The sequence below is a fragment of the Homo sapiens genome, chromosome 21, assembly GCF_000001405.40.
Source record: "Homo sapiens chromosome 21, GRCh38.p14 Primary Assembly".
In the NCBI taxonomy this organism is placed as follows: domain Eukaryota; kingdom Metazoa; phylum Chordata; class Mammalia; order Primates; family Hominidae; genus Homo; species Homo sapiens.
The window spans coordinates 15,628,387-15,649,623 of NC_000021.9; positions in this window are offsets into that span (position 1 = coordinate 15,628,387).

The following is a 21,237-nucleotide window of genomic DNA, read 5'->3' on the forward strand; positions in this document are numbered from 1 at the left end:
TTTGAGTGATTTTTGGTAGTAATAACTTTTTGTTTTGTGTTAGAAAGTTATCTGAATCCAAATACCTACACACACACACACACACACACACACACACACACACACAGAGAGAGAGAGAGAGAGAGAGACAGAGAGAGAGAGAGACAGAGAGAGAGAAACCGTTTTTATAACTATTCTAAAGCTTTTTTTTAACTTTGTATTTTAAAGTGTTTTTTTTTTTAACTTTAACTTTTCAATTCATCTGAATTTTCCATTGAGAGAGGTGCAGATCCACACTGTTTTAACATCTCTCTCTTCTACCTTGGAACATCTTGACCTCCAAGTCTACTATCAAATGCATTGTTTCCACAAGAGCTCACAATTAGCTCCTGGCTTATTTCAGCTGATAATGATGTCAACTTTTTGAGCTTTCATTTTTTTAACAGGATATTAGAAAACCAAAATCCTTTCAGACCTAAAAGACTGGGCATTTAACAAGGAATGTATTTAGATTACAAAAGATAATTAAATATCTCCATATTTTTGGAATGGAGCGTCTACCTAGAAATCCTAAAATCTTACTGGCTAGATCTCAGCCAACTTGTAAACAAGTGATTTTTTTTTTCTCACATGGACTTTCTGAAAATACATATTTTAAAATCTCCTACATATAAAATGTTAGCATATTTGGAGCCTACTCACAATCTTAACTGATGTCAAACATTAGATATTTGTAAATGTCAAAGGCCCTATAGGTGGCCCACCGAAGTAGAAAGTGGGGCAACCTGTTTTGCTTGTTTTAATGCATTCTTGAAATCCACCACTTTGGTTAAGATCTATAGATAGCCTGTTGGTTGGAAGTACTGGGTTATTTCTAGTTTCCTCACCGTGTGTGTGTGTGTGTGTGTGTGTGTGTGTGTGTGTGTGTGTGTGTGATGAGGAAGCTATCCAGCTTTATTCATTGGATCAGGTATTTGATTCTGGTCTGTTTACTTATAACCAAAGCACTACGCAGTAAACTTAAACTATCACAGGATCTTTGAATTTGACTCTTCCTGAAAATCTGGAGTTTTTACAGCGGGGTAGAGTTTCAGAATATTTCCATTCATCTCTTATATGTAAATAACACACGACTAGAAACTGAAGTGACTATAGAACAAATTAATTTGAATACTATCCAGCCTTGGAGGAAAATTTCTAGATATTTGTATGTAGTAGGTCTAAGAAGTATGAATAATGGCAATGAGAAAAACCTTTCAGGCCGAGCACAGTGGCTCACACCTGTAATCCCAGCAGTTTGGGAGGCTGAGGCAGGCAGATCACTTGAGCTCAGGAATTCAAGACCAGTCTGACCAACGTGGTGAAACCCCATCTTTACTAAAAATACAAAAACTAGCCAGGCGTGGTGGCACACGACTATAATCCCAGCTACTCAGGAGTCTGAGGCAAGAGAATCTCTTGAACCCTGGAGGTGGAGGTTGCAGTGAGCCAAGATGGCACCACTGCACTCCAGCCTGGGTGAGAGAGTGAGATTCTGTCTTGGAAAAAAAAAACAAAAAAAAACCTTTCTGAATGTTAGTTCTTTTACCTAACTTAATACTTAAGACTTCAGATTAAACAGTAATTTTATTTGAAAATGCAGGTAGAAATCAAATGGAAAAAAAATTACCAAAATAAGAAAACCTGTCCATACTTAGATGAAACTGTGCGCCAATTCTGCAGTATGCCTGGGTGACAGAGTACACAATCATTATGCATTTAAATTCATCTAGTCTGTATGGAAAATCGCCCTGAGTATAACTGACTATAACTATAACCTTGACCAATTCAACTGAATGCCATTTTGTTAAATAAAATATGAGGGCAACAAGATAAAAAAAAATAGATACATTGGATTGCATCAAAATTTTAAAAATCTTTTGTGCATGAAAGGATATTGTCAACAAAATGAAAGGCAACCCATGAACAGAAGAAAATATCTGCAAATCATACATCTGATAAGGGGTAAATATCCAGAATATATAAAGAAAACTCAACAATAGCAAAAAAACAAACAACCTGATTTAAAAATGGTCAAAGATCTTGAATTAACATTTCTCGAAAGAAGATTTACAACTGGGCAATAGCACATGGAAAGATGTTCAACATGTCTAATTATTAGGGAAATGCAAATCAATACCACAGTGGGATACCATTTTACACCTATTAGGATAGTTAATATTTAAAAACAGAAAGTAACAAGTGTTTTTAAGGAAATTGGAACCCTTGTACATAGCTGGTGGGAATGTGAAAAGAGGCAGACGCTGTGGAAAATGGTACGATGGTTCCTCAAAAATTAAACATGGAATTACCATGTGATCCATTCCACTTCTGTGTATGTACCCAAAAGAACTGATAGCATGAATGGATATTTGCACGTTCATGTTCATAGCAGCACTATTCACAACAGCCAAAACGTGAAAGCAATCTAAGTGCCCATTGATAGATTACTGGATAGACAAAATGTGGTATTTACATACAATGAAATAGTATCCAGCCTTAAAAAGGAAGGAAGTTCTGGCATATGCTATAACATGGATGAACCTTGGAGACATTATGCTGAGTGAATAAATCATCATAAAAGTATAAATACTGTATGATTCCACTTACATGAGGGACCTAGAGTAGTCAAATTCATAGAGAAAAAGTAGAAAGGTGGTTTCCAGAAACTATGGGGAGGGTTGAATGGAGAGTTACTATTTAATGGATACAGAGTTTCAGTTTTGTAAGATTAAAAAAAAATTCTGAAGATGGGTGGTGGTAATAGTTGCACAAAATTTTAAAGGTATCCCTGCTACTCAGGAGGCTGAGGTGGGAGGATCCCTTGAGCCCGGGAATTGGAGGCTGCAGTGAGCTGTGATGGCACCACTGCACTTCAGCCTGGGCAACAGAGTGAGATCCTGTTTCTAAAACAGAAATATATATATATTAAATGTACTAATGCCACTATGCACTTAAAAATGGTGAAAATAGTAAATTTTATATCATGCATCTTTTACTGCAATTTAAAAAATAAATAATAAAATAATATAAAGTAAAAGAAATATTAGAGGCTTTTAAATGCCTGTGTTTCCATGGAGACCTGGTTGTTGATCTTGATGACTCATGTAGAAAACTGTTTGGCATACAGTATTCCTGTTTTATAGAGTGAAATGGTAACGTTTGTGCTATTTCTGCTCCTTCCAAAATATAAATGGATTTTACAATTACTCAGGAATTACAAATTACTGAAATCATCTGAGAAGGCATCTGTGAGCAGGTTTGAGTTTCACGGTCTGAAAATGCCTATCATAGTCAACTATCTCATGACTAGTAATTATAGTTTTAGTCTTCAAAATGTTTACTTCTACTTCAAAACTTTTCCATGCAATGTGGGAATTTCACACAGTCATGAAATGTCTTTATTACATGTTTCCAAGAGCCTTGTTCCATGCCCAATATGATGATTCTCTTAAAATCATTATAAACAGATTTTTCTCATTAAAATTACATATTCTTTGTCACAAAGACTGAAATCAAGCAAATATCGAAGATGACCCCCAGATATTTGGGTATTGTTAAAAGCAGAATTAGAACATGGTTATCTTTGTCCATTTTCTACTAATAATAATGATAGCCACTATTTGTTGTGTACTTATGTGGGTACATGCACATTTATACTGTCTAACATTTTTATTCCTATATACAATAATTTATCAAGTCAGATTATGAGTATTTCAACTTACAGGATTCATTCTGTGATGATGTTCACATGTTCACAGCCTCTGGAGTAAATTTCCTCTGTATTTAAAACCCATCTCTATTTCCAGGCAATCAAATAGATCAAATTAGCACATGACTCTGGAGAGAAAATTATCCATGAATGTGGTGTTCCTGGTAACAGAGAGTTTTCTGTTACTTTGCTCTTAAAAAAAAAAATGGAAAAGTCTCTCGACTTCTTGGTTTGAGAGTTGCTAGTGCAGTGTACATGTATAACAAAATAAGGTAAATGTTCTACTCTAAGGAAGGCCAAAAAGAGCTGGAAATGTGTATTATATGTTCAAATTAAGAAGTCAAGGAAGAGGGTGAATAATCCAATCATTATGCTGAGTGAATAAATCATCATAAAATATAAATACTGTAGTATAAAGTATAAATCCAGACCAAATCACCAGTTTGGTCCGGGTACTTCTCCTTTCTTGTTACTCTGGGGGGTGAGTCTTTGGGTAATTGTTGCTGTTGTCTAACATTTCTCATTGCCCTTTGACTTCAGAATGCTATAGAGTTGCTGTCTGTGTAACAAGTCTAGTTTAACATTGGAAATATGTGTTCTTCATTTTGGTTTTATACAATCTCTGCAATCTTATCACTGATGCATATTTTTACAAGAATGTAAATGGCTCTGAGCAATGTTCAGGATACTCAGAGTGTCTTGACACACATAGAGGTTTTTAAGTACAGAGCATTGGTGATATGCACTTGGCATATCAAAAACTCAGGAAATCACCAAATGGGATTCTCAAGGACAATTACCAATACTGACTCCTTCACCTCCCCTGAAAACACCTAACTACTTATGGGGTGTGTGTTACTTAAATGATGGGAAAAGAAACAATCTAGAAGGGAGTCATTAAAGAAGTTGAATGGTGAGGAGGACCTTGGCCTAGTTGAGATTTACAGAAACTTACTTCTTTGAGATGAGCTTAAAATATAGAACCCCATGTTGCCACAATGCTGGCATGTCTCATGGGATCATAGTCTCCTTAGCCAAGATTGGCCTTTGTTTTCACAGAACAGTTATGACTACCCTAGGGGGAAGACAATAATACTGGTAATAAAACTGATTAAATTATATGAACAAAAGAAACCTGCTTTAGAAATATACTTATTTTAACATGTTTTAAATGGTATGCTTCTTGTAAAATATTCTAACATTAAGCTTTTTGTTTTTTCTTCAGTACACATCCATAGATACCACAACAAAAGTTATTACAGTAGGGCTGAGTTTCCATGTTTTGGAGTTTGTATTATTCCATTCTCACACTGCTATAAATAACCACCTGAGACTGGGTAATCTATGAGGAAAAGAGAATTAATTGACTCACAGTTCCATAGGCTGTACAGGAAGCATGGCTGGGAGGCCTCAGGAAACTTACAATTTTGGCAGAAGGGTGAAGGGGAAGCAAGCATGTCTTAACATGGTGGCAGGAGAGAGAGCTAAGGGGGAAGTGCCACACACTTTTAAACCATCAAATCTCATAAGAACTCAGTCACTATCACGTGAACAGCAAGGGGGAAATCCGAGCCCATGATCCAATCCCCAAGTCTCTCTGCCAACATTGGGAATTACATTTAACATGAGATTTGGGTGGAGACACAGAGCTAAACCATGTCACAGTTCTTATTCAATTCAGAATCATATGGACCTTTAAAATCCTTAAGCCCAATTTCACACTCAGTGTGGAAATGCCTTCTAAAGCATACTCTACAAATGTGATGGCAACTTGGCTTGAATATTCACAAAGATAGAGCATGAAAACACATGGTAAATAAGCAAAATGTATAGTCATTGTCAGCCGACATGTTTTTTCTTGTTATACTGATCTATCTGAGGTAGAGGTCCCTGAATTTTAGTCAGATTTATTTCCCATCCTCTGGCTTGCAAATGTCTCACCAATAAGTCCAGTGTGTTTGCTGCTTCTTGTTCACTGGATCCAATCAGCATAATGTCATCAATGTAATGGACCAGTGTGATATCTCGGGAAAGCAAAAAGCGATCAAGTTCTCTCTGAATAAAATTATGACACATAGTTGGAGAGGTGATATACCCCTGGGGTAGGACAGTAATGATATATTGCTAACCTTGCCTGCTGAAGGCAAATTGCTTCTGATGGGCCTTATGGACAGGAAAGGAGAAAAAGGTATTTTCCAAGTCAATGACTGCATACGAGCTTCCAGGAGATGTGTTAATTTGCTCAAGCAATGAAACCACATCTGGTACAGCAGCTGCAATTGGAGTCACCACTTGGATAAACTTATGATAATCCACTGTCATTCTCCAAGACTCATCTGTCTTCTGCACAGGCTAAATGGGATAGTTGAATGGGGATGTGGTGGGAATCACCACCCCTGCCTCTTTCAAGTCCTTGATGGTGGCACCAAACTCCACAATCCCTCCGGGGATGCAATATTGTTTTTAATTTACTATTTTTCTAGGTAGAGACAGCTCTAATAGCTTCCATTTGGCCTTTCCCACCATAATAACCCTCACACTACCAGTCAGGGAGCCAATGTGGGGGTTCTGCCAGACAGCTGCTAAGTATGTCTATGCCAATTACACATTCTGGCACTGGGGAAATGACCACAGGATGAGTCCCGGGACCCACTGTAAGTCGGAACTGAGCCAAAACTCCATTAATTACCTGACCTCCATAAGCCCCTACTTTAACTAGAGGACCACAGTGATGCTTGAGGTCCCCTGGAATCAACTTCAGCTCAGAGCCAGTGTCCAGTAGTCCCCGAAATGTCTGATCATTTCCCTTTCCCCAGCGCACAGTTACCCTGGTAAAAGGCCAAATGTCTCCCTGGGGAAGGATGGGAGAAAGCTTCACTGCATAAATTGTCAGTAGTGTAGTGGGGTCCTTCCTCAAGAGGACCCAGCTTCCCCTTCATTCAACGGGTTCTGGGTCTGTAAACTGGCTCAAGTCTGGAAATTGATTGAGGGGCCGTGATTCTCTGTTTTTATAATTCAAATTAGTCTTTTGTCCATTAGGCCTAGAATTTTTCTGTTTGGATAATTTAAGTAGGGATGCAGTAGGCTTCTTATGACTTTCACCTCTAGGAACACCATGATTAATTAGCCAATGCCAGAGCTCTAAATGAGTCAGACTATTCTGATTGCCGCTTTGCCTCTGCTATCCATTATGGTAGCTACGCCCACCTTGGCTTTGATGGCTGAGTGCTGCCACTTGGCCCCTGCCACCTCGGGATCCAATTATTCCCTGTCTATTTAAATTTTTTAGTTAAGTGACTGCAGTTCCCACTGTTAGACCTGACATACAGAGAAGAGCAATTACAGGGCTCTTCGAAGATGCAGGTGCTGCCTTCACAAATCTATTTCACAAGGTATTAGTCAAGGGTATATCTTCTGGACCCTCCCAGCTGGGATGTGTAGGTCTAAAGTGACTAATCCACTCCACCATCCCAATCTCCCTAAGCCTTTGGATCCCTTCCTTGACATTAAACCAAGGGAGATCAGGCATTTCCAGCTCATCCACAGTGGGCCATTTTTAACCCATATTTCATCTAACCAAGCAAACTATTAGAACCTTTTTTAACTCCCTGAGCTGCAACATTAAATTCACAGTCTTTACTTAGTGGGCCCAAATCATTAATCTCAGCCTGATGCAACTCTATGTTCCTTCCACCATTATCCCATACCCTTAACATCCATTCCCATGACTGTTTTCCAGATTGCTGTTTATATAAATTAGAGAACTCAAACAGTTCTTTTGGAGTGTAGCGCACCTCCTCATGGGTCACACTCTGAACCTCCCCTCTAGGGGCCCATAGGGACTTTAGTGTAGTTACAGGTCTAAAAGCAAACAGAGGTGTTGAGGGTGGCTCTGAGGAGAGTCAACATTATCTTGCCTGGCAGCTGCCTCCGGGGAGGCCATCACTGTTGCCTCGGGTAGTGTGGGGTTTATCTCCTCAGACAAAGGTGGAAAGGCTGATGGCAGCCCGGGTTGCGGAGGGGATGTTGCCACTACTGGGGATGGGGAAGTTCTTCCTTCTGGCAAAAAAGGTTCATCAGAGTTTACAGACTCAGTGTCCCCGGCTTTATCAGGGTCCTCTCACAAGATCCCATTTGAAGTTGCAGAGTTCCATTCTTTTCCAATCAATGCCCTCACTTTAACAGTAGGCACCTGGCGAGGCTGTGCGTGCATCTTTCATTGCAGGTCAGCCACTTGCATGATAAGAGCTTGTGTCTGTTTTTCCACAATTTCAACTCTTTCTCTACAGGACATAAGACTCTCACTCAGGGCAATCTTAGCATACTTGTGGCTCAGTATCTGCTTCTGAAGCCGGGAGACAGAATCCCTGAGTTCAACATTTTCTTTCATCACTTTGTCCACTGAACAGGAGCAACCAACCAGCTTCATTATGTTCTTTGGTTCTCCACATATGGCCAAAGGAATTATGTATAAAGTCACTAAACCCCTTGCCTCTCATGAGCAGTGAATCAGGAGTCTCAAATGCATTTATTTTGCATAACTCTTTAAACAGTTTTCAACAAGGACTATCAGTTTTCTCCATACTATTAGAAGTAGAGTCCCTGGCATCTTTAGGTCTAATCATATTAAGCAGCCAATTTCAGAATCCCCAAAACCAATGAAAGAACAACATCCTTAATATTCTGTTCCTCTAGAACCACTCCTGGTACCGAAAACTGTATTAGTCAGGGTTCTCTAAGAGGGATAGAACTAATAGGATATATATATATCCTACTAAATAAACACACACATATATATATATATATGTTTATTAAGTATTAACTTACACGATCACAAGGTCCCACAATAGGCTGTCTACAAGCTGTTGAGCGAGGAGAGCCAGTCTGAATCCCAAAACTGAAGAACTTGGAGTCTGCTCTTCAAGGCCAAGAAGCATCCAGCACAGGAGAAAGATGTAGGCTGGGAAGCTAGGCTGTCTCTTGTTTTCACATTTTTCTGCCTGCTTTATATTCACTGCCAGCTGATTAGTTTGTGCCCACCAGATTAAGGGTGGGTCTGCCTTCCACAGCCCACTGACTCAAATGTTAATCTCTTTTGGCAACACTCACACAGACACACCCAGAATTAATGCTTTGTATCCTTCAATCCAATCAAGTTGACACTCAGTATTAACCATCACAAGCATTTAATATAAACCTAATAAGTTATTTCTAACAGCTTTATTGAGATATAATTTACATACCATAAAATTTACCCTTTTAAAGTATACAGTTCAGTGGTTTTAATAATTCACAAAGTGGTACAACCATCATCACAATTTAGTTTTAGAACATTTTCATCACTCCAACATAAATAATTTTTTAGTTCTTTTTGCTTTCACCTTTAGGAATTCTGTATTTCTGGATAATTATAAAAGGCACTTTATTAATTTGGCAATGACTGGGTCAAATCTAAAATGAAGAAAAAAATGCTGTAAAGTTAGACAGCTATCATAAAGGAGATAATAAGTAATTGTTTTATTTGTTGTCTTTAAACATGTAAAGGCTTCTGGGAAGAATCCTTAAATATTAATTTTTAGTAATGGAAATTCTGGAAATTAAAATATATCAAACATCAAATGTTATTAAAAATTTTAAATCAACAAAAGTCTGCATTTGTAAGTCAAATTTCTACCTAAGATTACAAAGGCTTTGGTTATAGATCCCCTTAAAAGGATTTGGATGATTCTAAGAAGAAAACAAAATTACTTAGATGTAATCCTAGCTTTTGGCTCTGTCAATGCAGAAGACATTTCATCATGTGATTACACAGCAATAGGGTGTTTTTATAGTACCTATTCTTATAGAAAATGTTCTTTGAAGTTCTGTGCACACTGGTAAAGACAGGATAGTTGCCATATTTCAGCACCTAACCAGAACAAAAGATGTGCATTCATTTTACATTCACAAGTCTTATTAATTTTTACAAATTTGCATGACTTATTTTAAATTTGTACTGCGTGAGTTGGAGAAATTCTCAATGATCAAGTTATCTGAGAGCATTAGTCATTCTTTAACATGATTATTGCTGCACTGGGTTAAGTCGTATTTGATAATTTTCTTCTAAATGTGACTTAATGGGCTTACCAAACCAACATTAAAAAAGCTTTTCAACTATTTAGTCACTTACATTTTCTGCTATTAAAAAATGTTTCTGATTTTTGAGTGTTTGCCTCCCAAAAAACACTTTAGAAGTTTTTTCAGAAACACAACTTAATGGGTTAATCCTGCTACCAAAACAGACTCTCTTGGGATTCACAGGCTGAGAATCCAAACTTTTACCAAACATGATTTCTTATAAAGACGTCTTATAGCTTACTGAGAGAAACCATTTGGGGAACACTGCAAAAATACAGTGTAGTAGAATCTGGGGAGCAACTTTGTTCAGAATTTTGGGCTATGGTATTTCAGGAATTTAAAAAAAAACAAAGCATTAGAATAAAAGTCTAAATGGACTCCCTCTTTGGCCAGGGCACTCTAAAATGTAACCTGAAAGACTGGTTCAGGCCATGATGAGAAGTGGGGTTCAGACATGCCTCATCATACCCTTCCAGCAGTAACATCAATGCCTACCTTAAGTCTGATAAGAAACATTTACAATTCTCTCTAAAGCCTGCTACTTGGAGGCTTCATCTTTAGGATAAAACCTTGGTGTCTTCAACCCCTAATCATAGCAAAGACATCTCTTTCTACTGATAATAACTCTTTCAACCAATTGCCAATCAGAATATATTTATATCTACCTATGACCTGGAAGCCCCCTGCTTCAAGTTGTCCTGTCCTTTCAGATCAAACCAATGTAAATCTTACCTGTATTGACGGATGTGTTATGTCTCCGTACAATGTATAAAACCAAGCAGTATCCCGACCACCTTGGGCACATGTCCACATGTCGTCAGGACCTCCTGAGACGGTCATAGGCACCTCCTTAACCTTGGCAAAATAAACTTTCTGAAGTGTGTGAGATCTGTCTCAGATACTTTGGGTTCACAACAGGGAATAAAGAGTACGGCAGGAGCCCATCCAGTACCCTAAAATACTTACTTTAAACATCAGTTTTTTCCACAATGTTTACTAGAAGGCTAGGGGCCTAGCCTTAATCCTGGTGCTTGCCATGTTTGTCGTTTTGGAGGGAATGTTGTGCAACACCTTACTCACCCAGGAATTGTACCTGTTGACTCCCTTCAATGTTTGAGGCCCAGCCAGCACTCTGTCTACAGGAGCTAAACAGCACAGCTGGTTCCTCTGGCAGCGTGACTGGAATTCTTTCTCAGCTTTTATGTTCACACAGAAATGTTATCTTAATCTCAACTGACAAGTGTGTTCTTAAAACAAAACTCAAAGGTAGAAGGCTAGAGGAATGCTTCAGGGAGCTCCAAAATGAACAAAATGAATAGATCTGCACAGCAATTACATTTAGAAACCGAAACTTTTAATCCACAATTTAGACAGTAGCTGCAAAAGACAATTTGTTCCTTTCTGTTTTGGAGTGAAGATTATAATACATCATAATAGTGGTTTTTCACATTAAGTAATGTTTTTGCATTTCTGTAAAAAGTGCCTTAATGCCAAAACAAAAGGAAAATTAGTCATTAGTGGAAAAAAATAAATCCATAGTAGTGGTAATAAGTCATTTATTCCTCCATCCAGCAGTTACTGAACACCTATTGTATGCCAGATTTTTATCTAGGCAAAGAAAGAGTGAAAGATAATTCTCATAAAGGCCCTAAAAACAGGGAATCTTGGGGTATTCTGAAAACCTTGAACTAGGGCGCACTTCCGAACAAAGAAGGGGTGTGAGGGAGGACTTCTCAGAGGAGCTGAATACTTGTAAATAGATAATATGGAGATTTTAGAAATTGAAATTCGAAACATTCTAAAGCAGTGTCAGAAAATGTTCTATGTAAATTTAGCTGTTATTATTATGTTATGAAAATCTTTGTGTGTCCTAAGCATACATAACATAGGCATACATAAGAAACAGATTTAAATCCGTTTCAGATAATCCATTGTCCATCAAGCATAATTATTGATCTTCACATGGTTCAGACACAATGCTGAAAATTGGAATTAGGAAAGATAATTTTTCCAGGAGTCCCTGAGGCAAGCAGTCTTGTATCCTAAAGCTTAGCTTGTTTTTATTTATTTATTTATTTATTTATTTATTTATTTATTTATTTTGAGACAGAGCCTCACTTTGTCACCCGGGCTGGAGTGCAGTGGTGTGAACATGGCTCACTGCAGCCTCAACTTCCCAGGCTCAAGCAATCCTCCCACCTCAGGCCCCCAAGTAGCTGGGACTACAGGCACGTGCCACTGTGCCCAGGTAATTTTTGTATCTTTTGTAGATACTGGGTTTCACCATGTTGCCCAGGCTGGTCTCAAACTCCTGGGCTCAAGAGACGCACCCACCTTGGCCTCCCAAAGTGCTGGGATTACAGGCATGAGCCACAGCACCTGGCCTGTTTTTAATTTTTAATCATCAAAATTATAGGAAGAATAATTTGTTTTATTCTCTAAAGTCTCTAGAACATTTTTGTTCTCTTCCTCCCTCCCTCTCTCCTTCCCTCCCTCCTTCTCTCCCTTCCTTCCTCCTTCCCTCCCTCCGTCCATCCTTCCTTCCTTCCTTCCATCCTTCCTTCCTTCCTTCCTTCCTTCCTTCCTTCCATCCTTCTTTCCTTCCTTCCTTCCTTCCTTCCTTCTCTCTCTTTCACTCTTTCCTTTTCAATCTCATGTCTCCAAGAAAAACAAACTTGGCACAATTATTAGGAGTCACTCTTTCATGGTGAGTATAAGTTTCATGACATTTCAGAGGAAGTACAGTCAGCCATTTCCGTGGTGATTGAGGAGGTTTGAAGATTATGGACTAATACGCAGGAAGTTATCTATAGATTGCACTGGAAGGAACCTGAGGAATTAGAGCTCAGATTGGGAAGGAGATAGGTTATGTTTTCAGCACTTTTATGCGCCTTTTATCCTTTCTTATAGGAAGGCTGCAGATAATAACTAACAAATGACTAATAATACTACCTATGACTGTTTGATTCCCATTCTCTGTAATTCTGTCCTTATGAGACTGCCAGAGTGAGGACAAATTTTAGGCCACAGACTGAGAGAAAACAATAATCAATAAGAATTTCAGGTGTGGCGAGAAGGGAACATGCCATGGTCTTCAAAGCAATGATCAGAACACATTGTCTTTCCAGTTTGGGGGTGGGAAGAGAAAAAGGAGTAAGACTGTAGCAGAACTGCTTAAACAGAGCTCAATATTCTACAGAGTCAACAAGCACCCCTCTCATTCACTACATACAGATATTAAGAACGCTGATTAAAAGTGGGAGAGCTACTGCTTAAGTACAATATGTGGAATGTTGAGCTCTGTTTAAGTGTTTCTGACAGCATGCCTCTTTTTGACAAATACCAGTTAAAATATGAAATACGAGTTTCTTGGAACAGAACGCAGAATCTCTTGGGGAACTGAGAGAAGCCAAGTTGACCATTTAATAATCATCAGGTTCTTTTGGCAAATATTGAGAGCTCCCAGCAATTAGAGGTAGGCAAGTAGGCGTTGGATGGCAATCCTCTCCCATGTAACCGTGCTACCCCATGGTATGTCAATAATGAAAACAAGTTATATAACAGATTAAGATTGTCTAAAATGTATTAACAAGAAGCAAAAATAGTCACATCAACTGCTCTTGTAAGCTTAGAATACTAAGGCTGTTCAGACATTCTGAAAGCAGGATAAGCCAACCTTCTAGTTTGGGTCAAGCAACATTGTCATCTCTGAAATGAAAGTGTGTGGCCAAATGGAGATGTGAACCTACCATGCTGCTCCAGAGATATTAGTTTCTGCCGGATTTGCATATCTTTACATCGAGTTCATACATGGGTGTTGGTGCCTGTACACTCATTCTATCCAGTCATGTAACTCAAGCACAGCTCATTTTACTAATGTTTGTATGCTAATTAAAAACTCTTAGGTATAGATTCCTATAATAATATTTAAAGTTATTATGTAGCTACTTCTGAAGTGTGAATACCTGAGTAGGGTACTTCAGATGTTCAATACTCCCTTAGAACAGTGAATATAGTAAGCACTCAAATGTTACTTACTACTTTTCTTGTACTTATCTTGGTTGTCATCTTCATTAGTATGTGACATGCTCTGCTATTTCTCTACATGTCTAACTTACTCACTAAGCTAGTGCTTTTCAAGCCCATTAGTGGGTTATAAAATCAATTCAACAGTTTCTACATAGCATTTTTAAATGAACTAGGCCAGAAAAGAATAGCAAATATTAAAGTGTATCAAGTTTTTGGTTCAGGCTTATAAAGGTATATATACTGAGTTACAACGTAAAATATGTTTCCTACTGTGGCTCATGGTCAAAAAGAACAAACAGAAAAATGCTATACTAGGTTGTATACTTCAAAGAGATCTTCCCTTATTTATGTTGCTAACCCCAGTGTTTAGTATATGTTTAGCTGGTCAGTAAATGTTTGAATATGAGTAACTTGTTTTTTCTGCTAAGACGAATTTCACTGTAAGATGAGACTGGCATTTAAACCTTTTGGAGAATCTGAAACCAAATATGTGTAATTGATATTTGTAGAACCAATGCATAGAAATGTTCTCTGTTGCTCTGTTTTGAAGAAAACTGTAATTATAGACAATCTCTCCTGGAAATCTTTATAGTTTTGTGTCTCAGTGTTCTGCATTTTAAAACCCAGAAATTGCTTATTCTGGCGAAATGTATTCCAGTGCCCTTTGTATCAGTTGCCTGTTGTTGCTGTGCAAATTGCCACAAGTGTTGTTGCTTAAAACAACATGTTTACTATCTCATAGTTTTATGAACTAGACATCTGACATGAGTCTCACTGGACTATAGTCAAGAGAGCCACAGCCTGCTTTCTTCTGAGGTTCTAGAGGAGATTTTCCAGCTTCTGGATGCCTCTGGAATTCCTTGGCTCATGACTCTTCTCCATCTTCAAAGCCAGCGGCGCAGCCCTCCGACCTCTGCCTCCATGGTCACATCTCCCCTTCTGACTCTGACTCTCCTATCTTCCTCTTTGATTTATAAGGACCCTCCTGATTACACTGGGCTCACAAAGATAATCCCAGATAACCTCCCCATTTCAAGTTCTTATTTAGCCATATCTGCAAATTCTCTTTTGCCACTTAATATTCACAGGTTCCAGGAATAAAACTTAGACATCTTTGGAAGCCATTATTCTGCCTTCCATGCCCATCAATTCTACTGCCTAAGAAGTGACTCAAACAGAGAACATTTGCAAAGCATTTTGGATAACGTTCATGCTGCTTGACTTATAGATGTGGCTATGCAGGTCATTTCCTAAAAACCTGTTTTCTGATTTCGTATGATTTTGGGTGTTCAGCATGGGCCAAGAAAGTAACACCTAACCATCAGTGATTTTAAAATCCTTGCTTTTGAGAATTTGTTGAAATTTAGGTAGCAACCCACATTTTCATACTGAAATTTGAAATTGTTCTAACTTTTAACATTACTTAGTTAATAAACCTTAGAGTAATGAATTAGAGAAATAGAAGTAGAAGGTACAGAATTCTAAACTAGTGAAGAACAGTTTGATAATTTATGAGGATACATAACTTGCAGAATGTGAAATTTTGGGAAATAATATGGCTGTCCAGGGCAAAGTCACTGCAGTTTCCTGAGTAATTAAGAAATGTAATTTGGAAGAACTGCTGGCCTGTTGGCAAAGATTTTGAACACTATCTACGCTGGTTTGTTTTATAAGTCAATGCCTTCTAACGCTTTTATTTTCAGTGACTGTCATTTTAATTTTTTTCTCCAGTTCCCTAGTTTCTATGAGAATTTGGTCTTGCTAATAAGATTTTCTCCAATTATGAAATTTGTCAACAACATAGATTCTTGAAAAGTAATTATAATCCTTTACTTAAAATTTTTATTGTTTCCTTTAAAATGTCTTCTGCATAGTAAAATTCAAAATCAAATATCTGTCAAAGAGGTGAGTGTGCCTTATTACCTCAAAGATGTTAAATTGCTTTTGCAAATTACTTTCTCATTCTCTTTTCTAGTCTCATCTTAATTCTCCATGGTTTTAATAGCAGGTGCTCTTGCTGGCTTCATTTGGTTTATTGCTTTGTCTAAAAATAGTTTTCATAGCTTAAATAGGCTTGCAAATTTGATTCTTTCTAATAATTTCACTTATAAGCAGTCACATTTTCTCTCTGAAAAATAATTTAATATTTATATTGCCAGTTGGGCTAGGTTTGGTTTTTAAGTTGTGCATTTGTTTCCATTTGAAACTACTATTGTTAATAATCAACATTGGCTGAGGCAAGATGTAGTAGACGCCACCCTTACCAATAAATATTCCTTGGACTGTTAACATGAGTAGTTCATTGAAAGTATGTTTGAATCAAAAGAATTAGGTTGTAAAGTGAGCGGAGGCTGTGGCTTCTGAAAAAAATTGGCTATGGACTTAGAAATCAAATCAAACCTAGGATTAAATTTGGCTCTGCTACTGATTAGCTAAGATTTGGAACATGCACCTCAGTTTTGTCATGTGTACAATTGGAAAATACAGACCTCGTGAGAATGATGTGAAAACTATATGAGATAATGCAGCTAAATTTCTAGCATAGGATTCACAAAAAGCATCTAATAAATTGTACCTCTTATTACCTAGACATTTCTAGTTTTGCTTTAAAAAATAAAATCTGTGGCCAGCGCCGTGGCTCACACCTGTAATCCCAGCACTTTGGGAGGCTGAGGCGGGCAGATCACTTGAGGTCAGGAGTTCGAGACCAGCCTGGCCAACTTTGTGAAACCCCATCTCTACTAAAAATACAAAAATTAGCCAGGCATGGTGTCACACACCTGTAAACACAGCAACTCGGGAAGCTGAAGCTGGAGAATCTCTTGAGCCCGGAAGGTGGAGGTTGCAGTGAGCCAAGATCACACCATTCACACCACTGCACTCCACCTAGGCAACAGAGCCAGATTCCATCTCAAAACAAACAAACAAACAAAAAACTGTGTATCTTAACAGATTTTTTTAATTGATATGTGCTATAAACAGTTCTTAACACCCACAAGGAATACACAAAACATCCAATAGATTACAAAAAATGTTAAACTTCAAAAATTCTTGATATGAAAATGAAATCAATAAAAATTTTTAATTGTTAGATTACCAATTTTTTTTTTTTTGAGACAGAGTCTAGCTCTGTCACCCAGACTGGAGTGCAGTGGCACGATCTCAGGTCACTGCAAGCTCTGCCTCCCAGGTTCAAGCTATTCTCCTGCCTCAGCCTCCCAAGTAGCTGGGACTACAGCCGTGTGCCACCACGCCCAGCTATTTTTTTGTATTTTAGTAGAGACGGGGTTTCACCATGTTAGCCAGGAAGGTCTCGATCTCTTGACCTCGTGATCCGCCTGCCTCGGCCTCCCAAACTGCTGGGATTACAGGCCTGAACCACTGCACCTGGCCTAGATTAGCAATAATTTCTAACGGAATATTTTTATCAACAGACTGTCATTATAGTGGGGGCAAAGGGCTAGATTAAAGGCATTAGGACAACTAACCATCTGTATATAAAAGAATAAAACTAGTACCCTACATCACACCATTTTCAAAAATCAATTACAGACACACAAAATACTTAAATGGAAAAAAGCTACAAGACTAACTTAAAATATTATATGTGTATATATATATATGTATACACACACGCATATGTACTGAAAAAGGTGAATAGTTAAATAAATAAATTGGAAAGGAAAAACAAATATTCCTTACAGAGGAATTCCATTTAAAATATGCAGATTCTCCTCCCTCAAAGGCGTGGCACTTAATCACCACCACATTTCTCCTTCTTGGTAGGCTAGACATAATAACTTGCTTCCAAGGACTAGGGTAAGGAGAGAGAAAATCAGTAACTTTACAGTGAAAAAATCTGGCAAGGCGTGATTAACCAAGTAATTAAGGTTAACATCGTCAGTGATGTCATGTAGGTATGATATCCCCCTTGATATTCTGGGATGAGAAGGGCACTTTACCCATGACATATTCTTTCCAAACACCCATAAGCTCACTGTAATCATAAGAAAAACATCAGATAAATTTAGATCCAAGACAATTCTACAGCTTCCTTGGCCAGTACTCCTCAAGACTGCCAAGATGATGAAAAACAAGGAAAAGAAAGAAAAGCTGTCATAGACCAGAGGAGACGTGGGAGAAATGACAAAGAAACACAATCTGGATCCAGGATTGAATACTGGAAACAAAGAAAAGAAACCTAGTGAAATTCAAATAAAATCTGGAGTTCAATTAGCAGTAATGTATTAATGTTGGTTTCTTATCTTGGACAAATGTACTATGGTAATGTAAGATGTTAACAAAAGGTGAAACTGAGAAAGAGAAACACAGGGACTCTGTATTATTGCTGCAATCTTTCTATAAATCCAAGGTTATTCAAAAGTACAAAATGTATTTAAGAAGACTATAAGATTTAAAATAAACATATCAACATATCTTTATATTCTTTTTTTTTTTTGACGGAGTCTTGCTCTGTCACCCAGGCTGGAGTGCAGTGGCGTGATCTCAGCTCACTGCAAGCTCCTCCTCCTGGGTTCATGCCACTCTCCTGCCTCAGCCTCCTGAGTAGCTGGGACTACAGGCGACCACCACCACGCCCGGCTAATTTTTTTGTATTTTTAGTAGAGACAGGGTTTCACCGTGTCAGCCAGGAAGGCCTCGATCTCCTGATATCGTGATCCACCCGCCTCAGCCTCCCAAAGTGCTGGGATTACAGGCACGAGCCACCGCGCCTGGCCCTTTATATTCTTCAGATAAAGATGTCTTAACCAAGGAAAAAAATGTAGAAAAATATTGATGAAAAGAAAATATTGATAAATTTGACTACATTAAATTCCAGAATGTTCATCAAACCAAGCTGCAAAGAAAGTAAAAATATAAATCACAAATGGGGAGAAGGTATTTGCAATAAATACATTGAAATGACAGAGATCTCTTGCAATGCAAATTGAAAAAAGATAAGCAGCTCCATGGAAAAGTGAGGAAAATACTTAAATAGAATTTCAGAAAAAAGGCAGTCTCAAAGATCAATGAGTATATTAGAGGATGTTCAACCATATTACTGTTGAGGAAAAGACCACAGTGGGATATCATTTCATGTTTGCTCACTTGGAAATTTTAAAGACTGAGAATATCAAGTGTTATCAAAAGTGTGGAAAGCCAAAACATTTATACACTGCAGGTGGAAGTGTAAGACTTTATTGCCACTTTGGAAACAATTTGGCAGTATCTAGAGTAAAAGATGTGTGTATTCTATGTATGACAAAGCAACTGCACTTCTAGGTATATAGCACAGAGAAACTCTCGTATATATGAACCAGGAAACCAAAATACTCTCAGAAGCTCTGTTTATAATAACAACAACAAAAAGAAAAACAAAACAGATGCAACCCAAATATCTATCACAACATAATACCATCCAGCAATGAAAATAAAACAACAGTAATGAGCGAAACAAGGATGAATTGAAAGAATACAATTTGGAGGGAAAGAGGAAAGTGCAGAATGCATACAGCATTTCTTTACATCAAATTTTAAAATATAGAACTAAACAATTTAGTGTTTAGGATCACAAACACGTGGGAAAGTGCTATGGTCTTAATGTTTGCATTCCTCCAAAATGCATATAATTGAAATTTCATCCCCAAAATGCTGTTACAAACAGGTGGCGCCTTTGGGAGGTGATTAGGTCATGAGGATGAAGCCCTCAAGAATGCAATTAGTGTCCTTATAAAAGAGGCCTCCAAGAGCTCATTGGCCCCTTTTTGCCCTTCTGCCATGTGAGGATATAGCAAAAAGGCACCATCTTTGAAGAAGACAGGAAGCCCTCACCAGACATGGAAGCTACTGGCACCTTGATCTTGGACTTCCCAGGCTCCAGAACTCTGAGCAATAAGTTTCTGCTGTTTACAAATTACCCAGTTTAACATATTTTGTTATAGCAGCTTGAACAGACTCCAATAGAAACCTATAAAGAAAAGCAAAGGAATGGTAAAGATAATTCTTACAGCTACTACCTCTATGGAGGGCTTAGAGGAGTGGTGCCTAGGGAACTTCAAAAATAAAACAATATTCTCCGTTTTTAACTGGATGGTGGGTTCATGGGTGTTTGTATACATACTAAATATGGTATAAATATGATTTTATATCTACTTAATAATAATAAGAAAGAAAGACAAAGGTGAGAGATAGAGACAGGGAAGGAGTGTGGGTTATCACTCTCACTAGCGGTGATACCCATACAGCATGGAGACCCCAGTGTGCAAAGGGATTCCCAAGTGTAGAGCTAAGTTTACCAGTTTGGTAGATTTCACTGCCTCTTTTTATTCTTATCTCATATCAAAGCTTCATTTAAGTTAGCTGGGCCCAAATTACCGGAGTAAAAACATCATTATCTCCTCCCTCTAGCTCAACCTCTTGTGATGTACAGTGCCCCATGCCTGTTTTCTCGGAGCCACAGTCCCCTCTTCCTCCTTTTCTCACTGTCACAACAGAGATTCTATATGTCTCCGTCTACATACCTGACCCTTAAATGCTGTAGTAAGCCATCCTTCCTGAGAATTCATCCCCAGATCCTAGGCTGTCTTTTTCTCCTTCCTTAGGATGTCCTTCCTCCTCACTTTGCTCAAGACCATGAATTGATGCAGTGGTAATGGAAAAATTTCTAAAGCATATCGGACCGATCATTGCCAGAAATGCATCTTCTCTCTTTTCTGATTCAAGGCAGTTGTTAGGCCAGAAGAGTGGCCTCAGAGAAATACACACCTCTTTTTAAAGTGATGGATTCTGTATTAGATCTGAGAACTTCTTCTTCACTTTGTATGCCAAAGAAAAAATTTTAAGCAAGTATAAAAGCAGGGAGACTGATGTACTAGTCCAGATGAAGGAAGGTAGTCTGAACCAAGGCAGTGGATATAACAGAAGTGGAAGTAGAGATGAGGGAACAGATTTGAAAAAGATTTGCTTGGAACCCTGTTTATTTACTAGACAAAAATCTGTCTGGAAGGAATTATGTGAAAATAGCCATCATCTTCATAAAACAACAGTGGGTGGACAGATTAAAAACTTTAAAATTATTGTCTACAATGAGACAAGAAGAAAGCTAAGTATTTTGAGAGTTATAGATTATTGAAGCAAAATTATTAATTGAGCACCAAGCTCTGCCATTGCCTCCAGGAAGCTACAGAGAACATTATTACTTGTAACCTAATGAGCCTTCAGAAATCAGTAACTAATCATGTTCATGACTTGCTATAGTTATTAGCATTAAACATGGATTAGACTAATTTTTAGTATTATACATGGGTGGGATTTGTCTTTTTGAAAATTTTCAACTATTCACATTTATCCTTTTTGTTCCA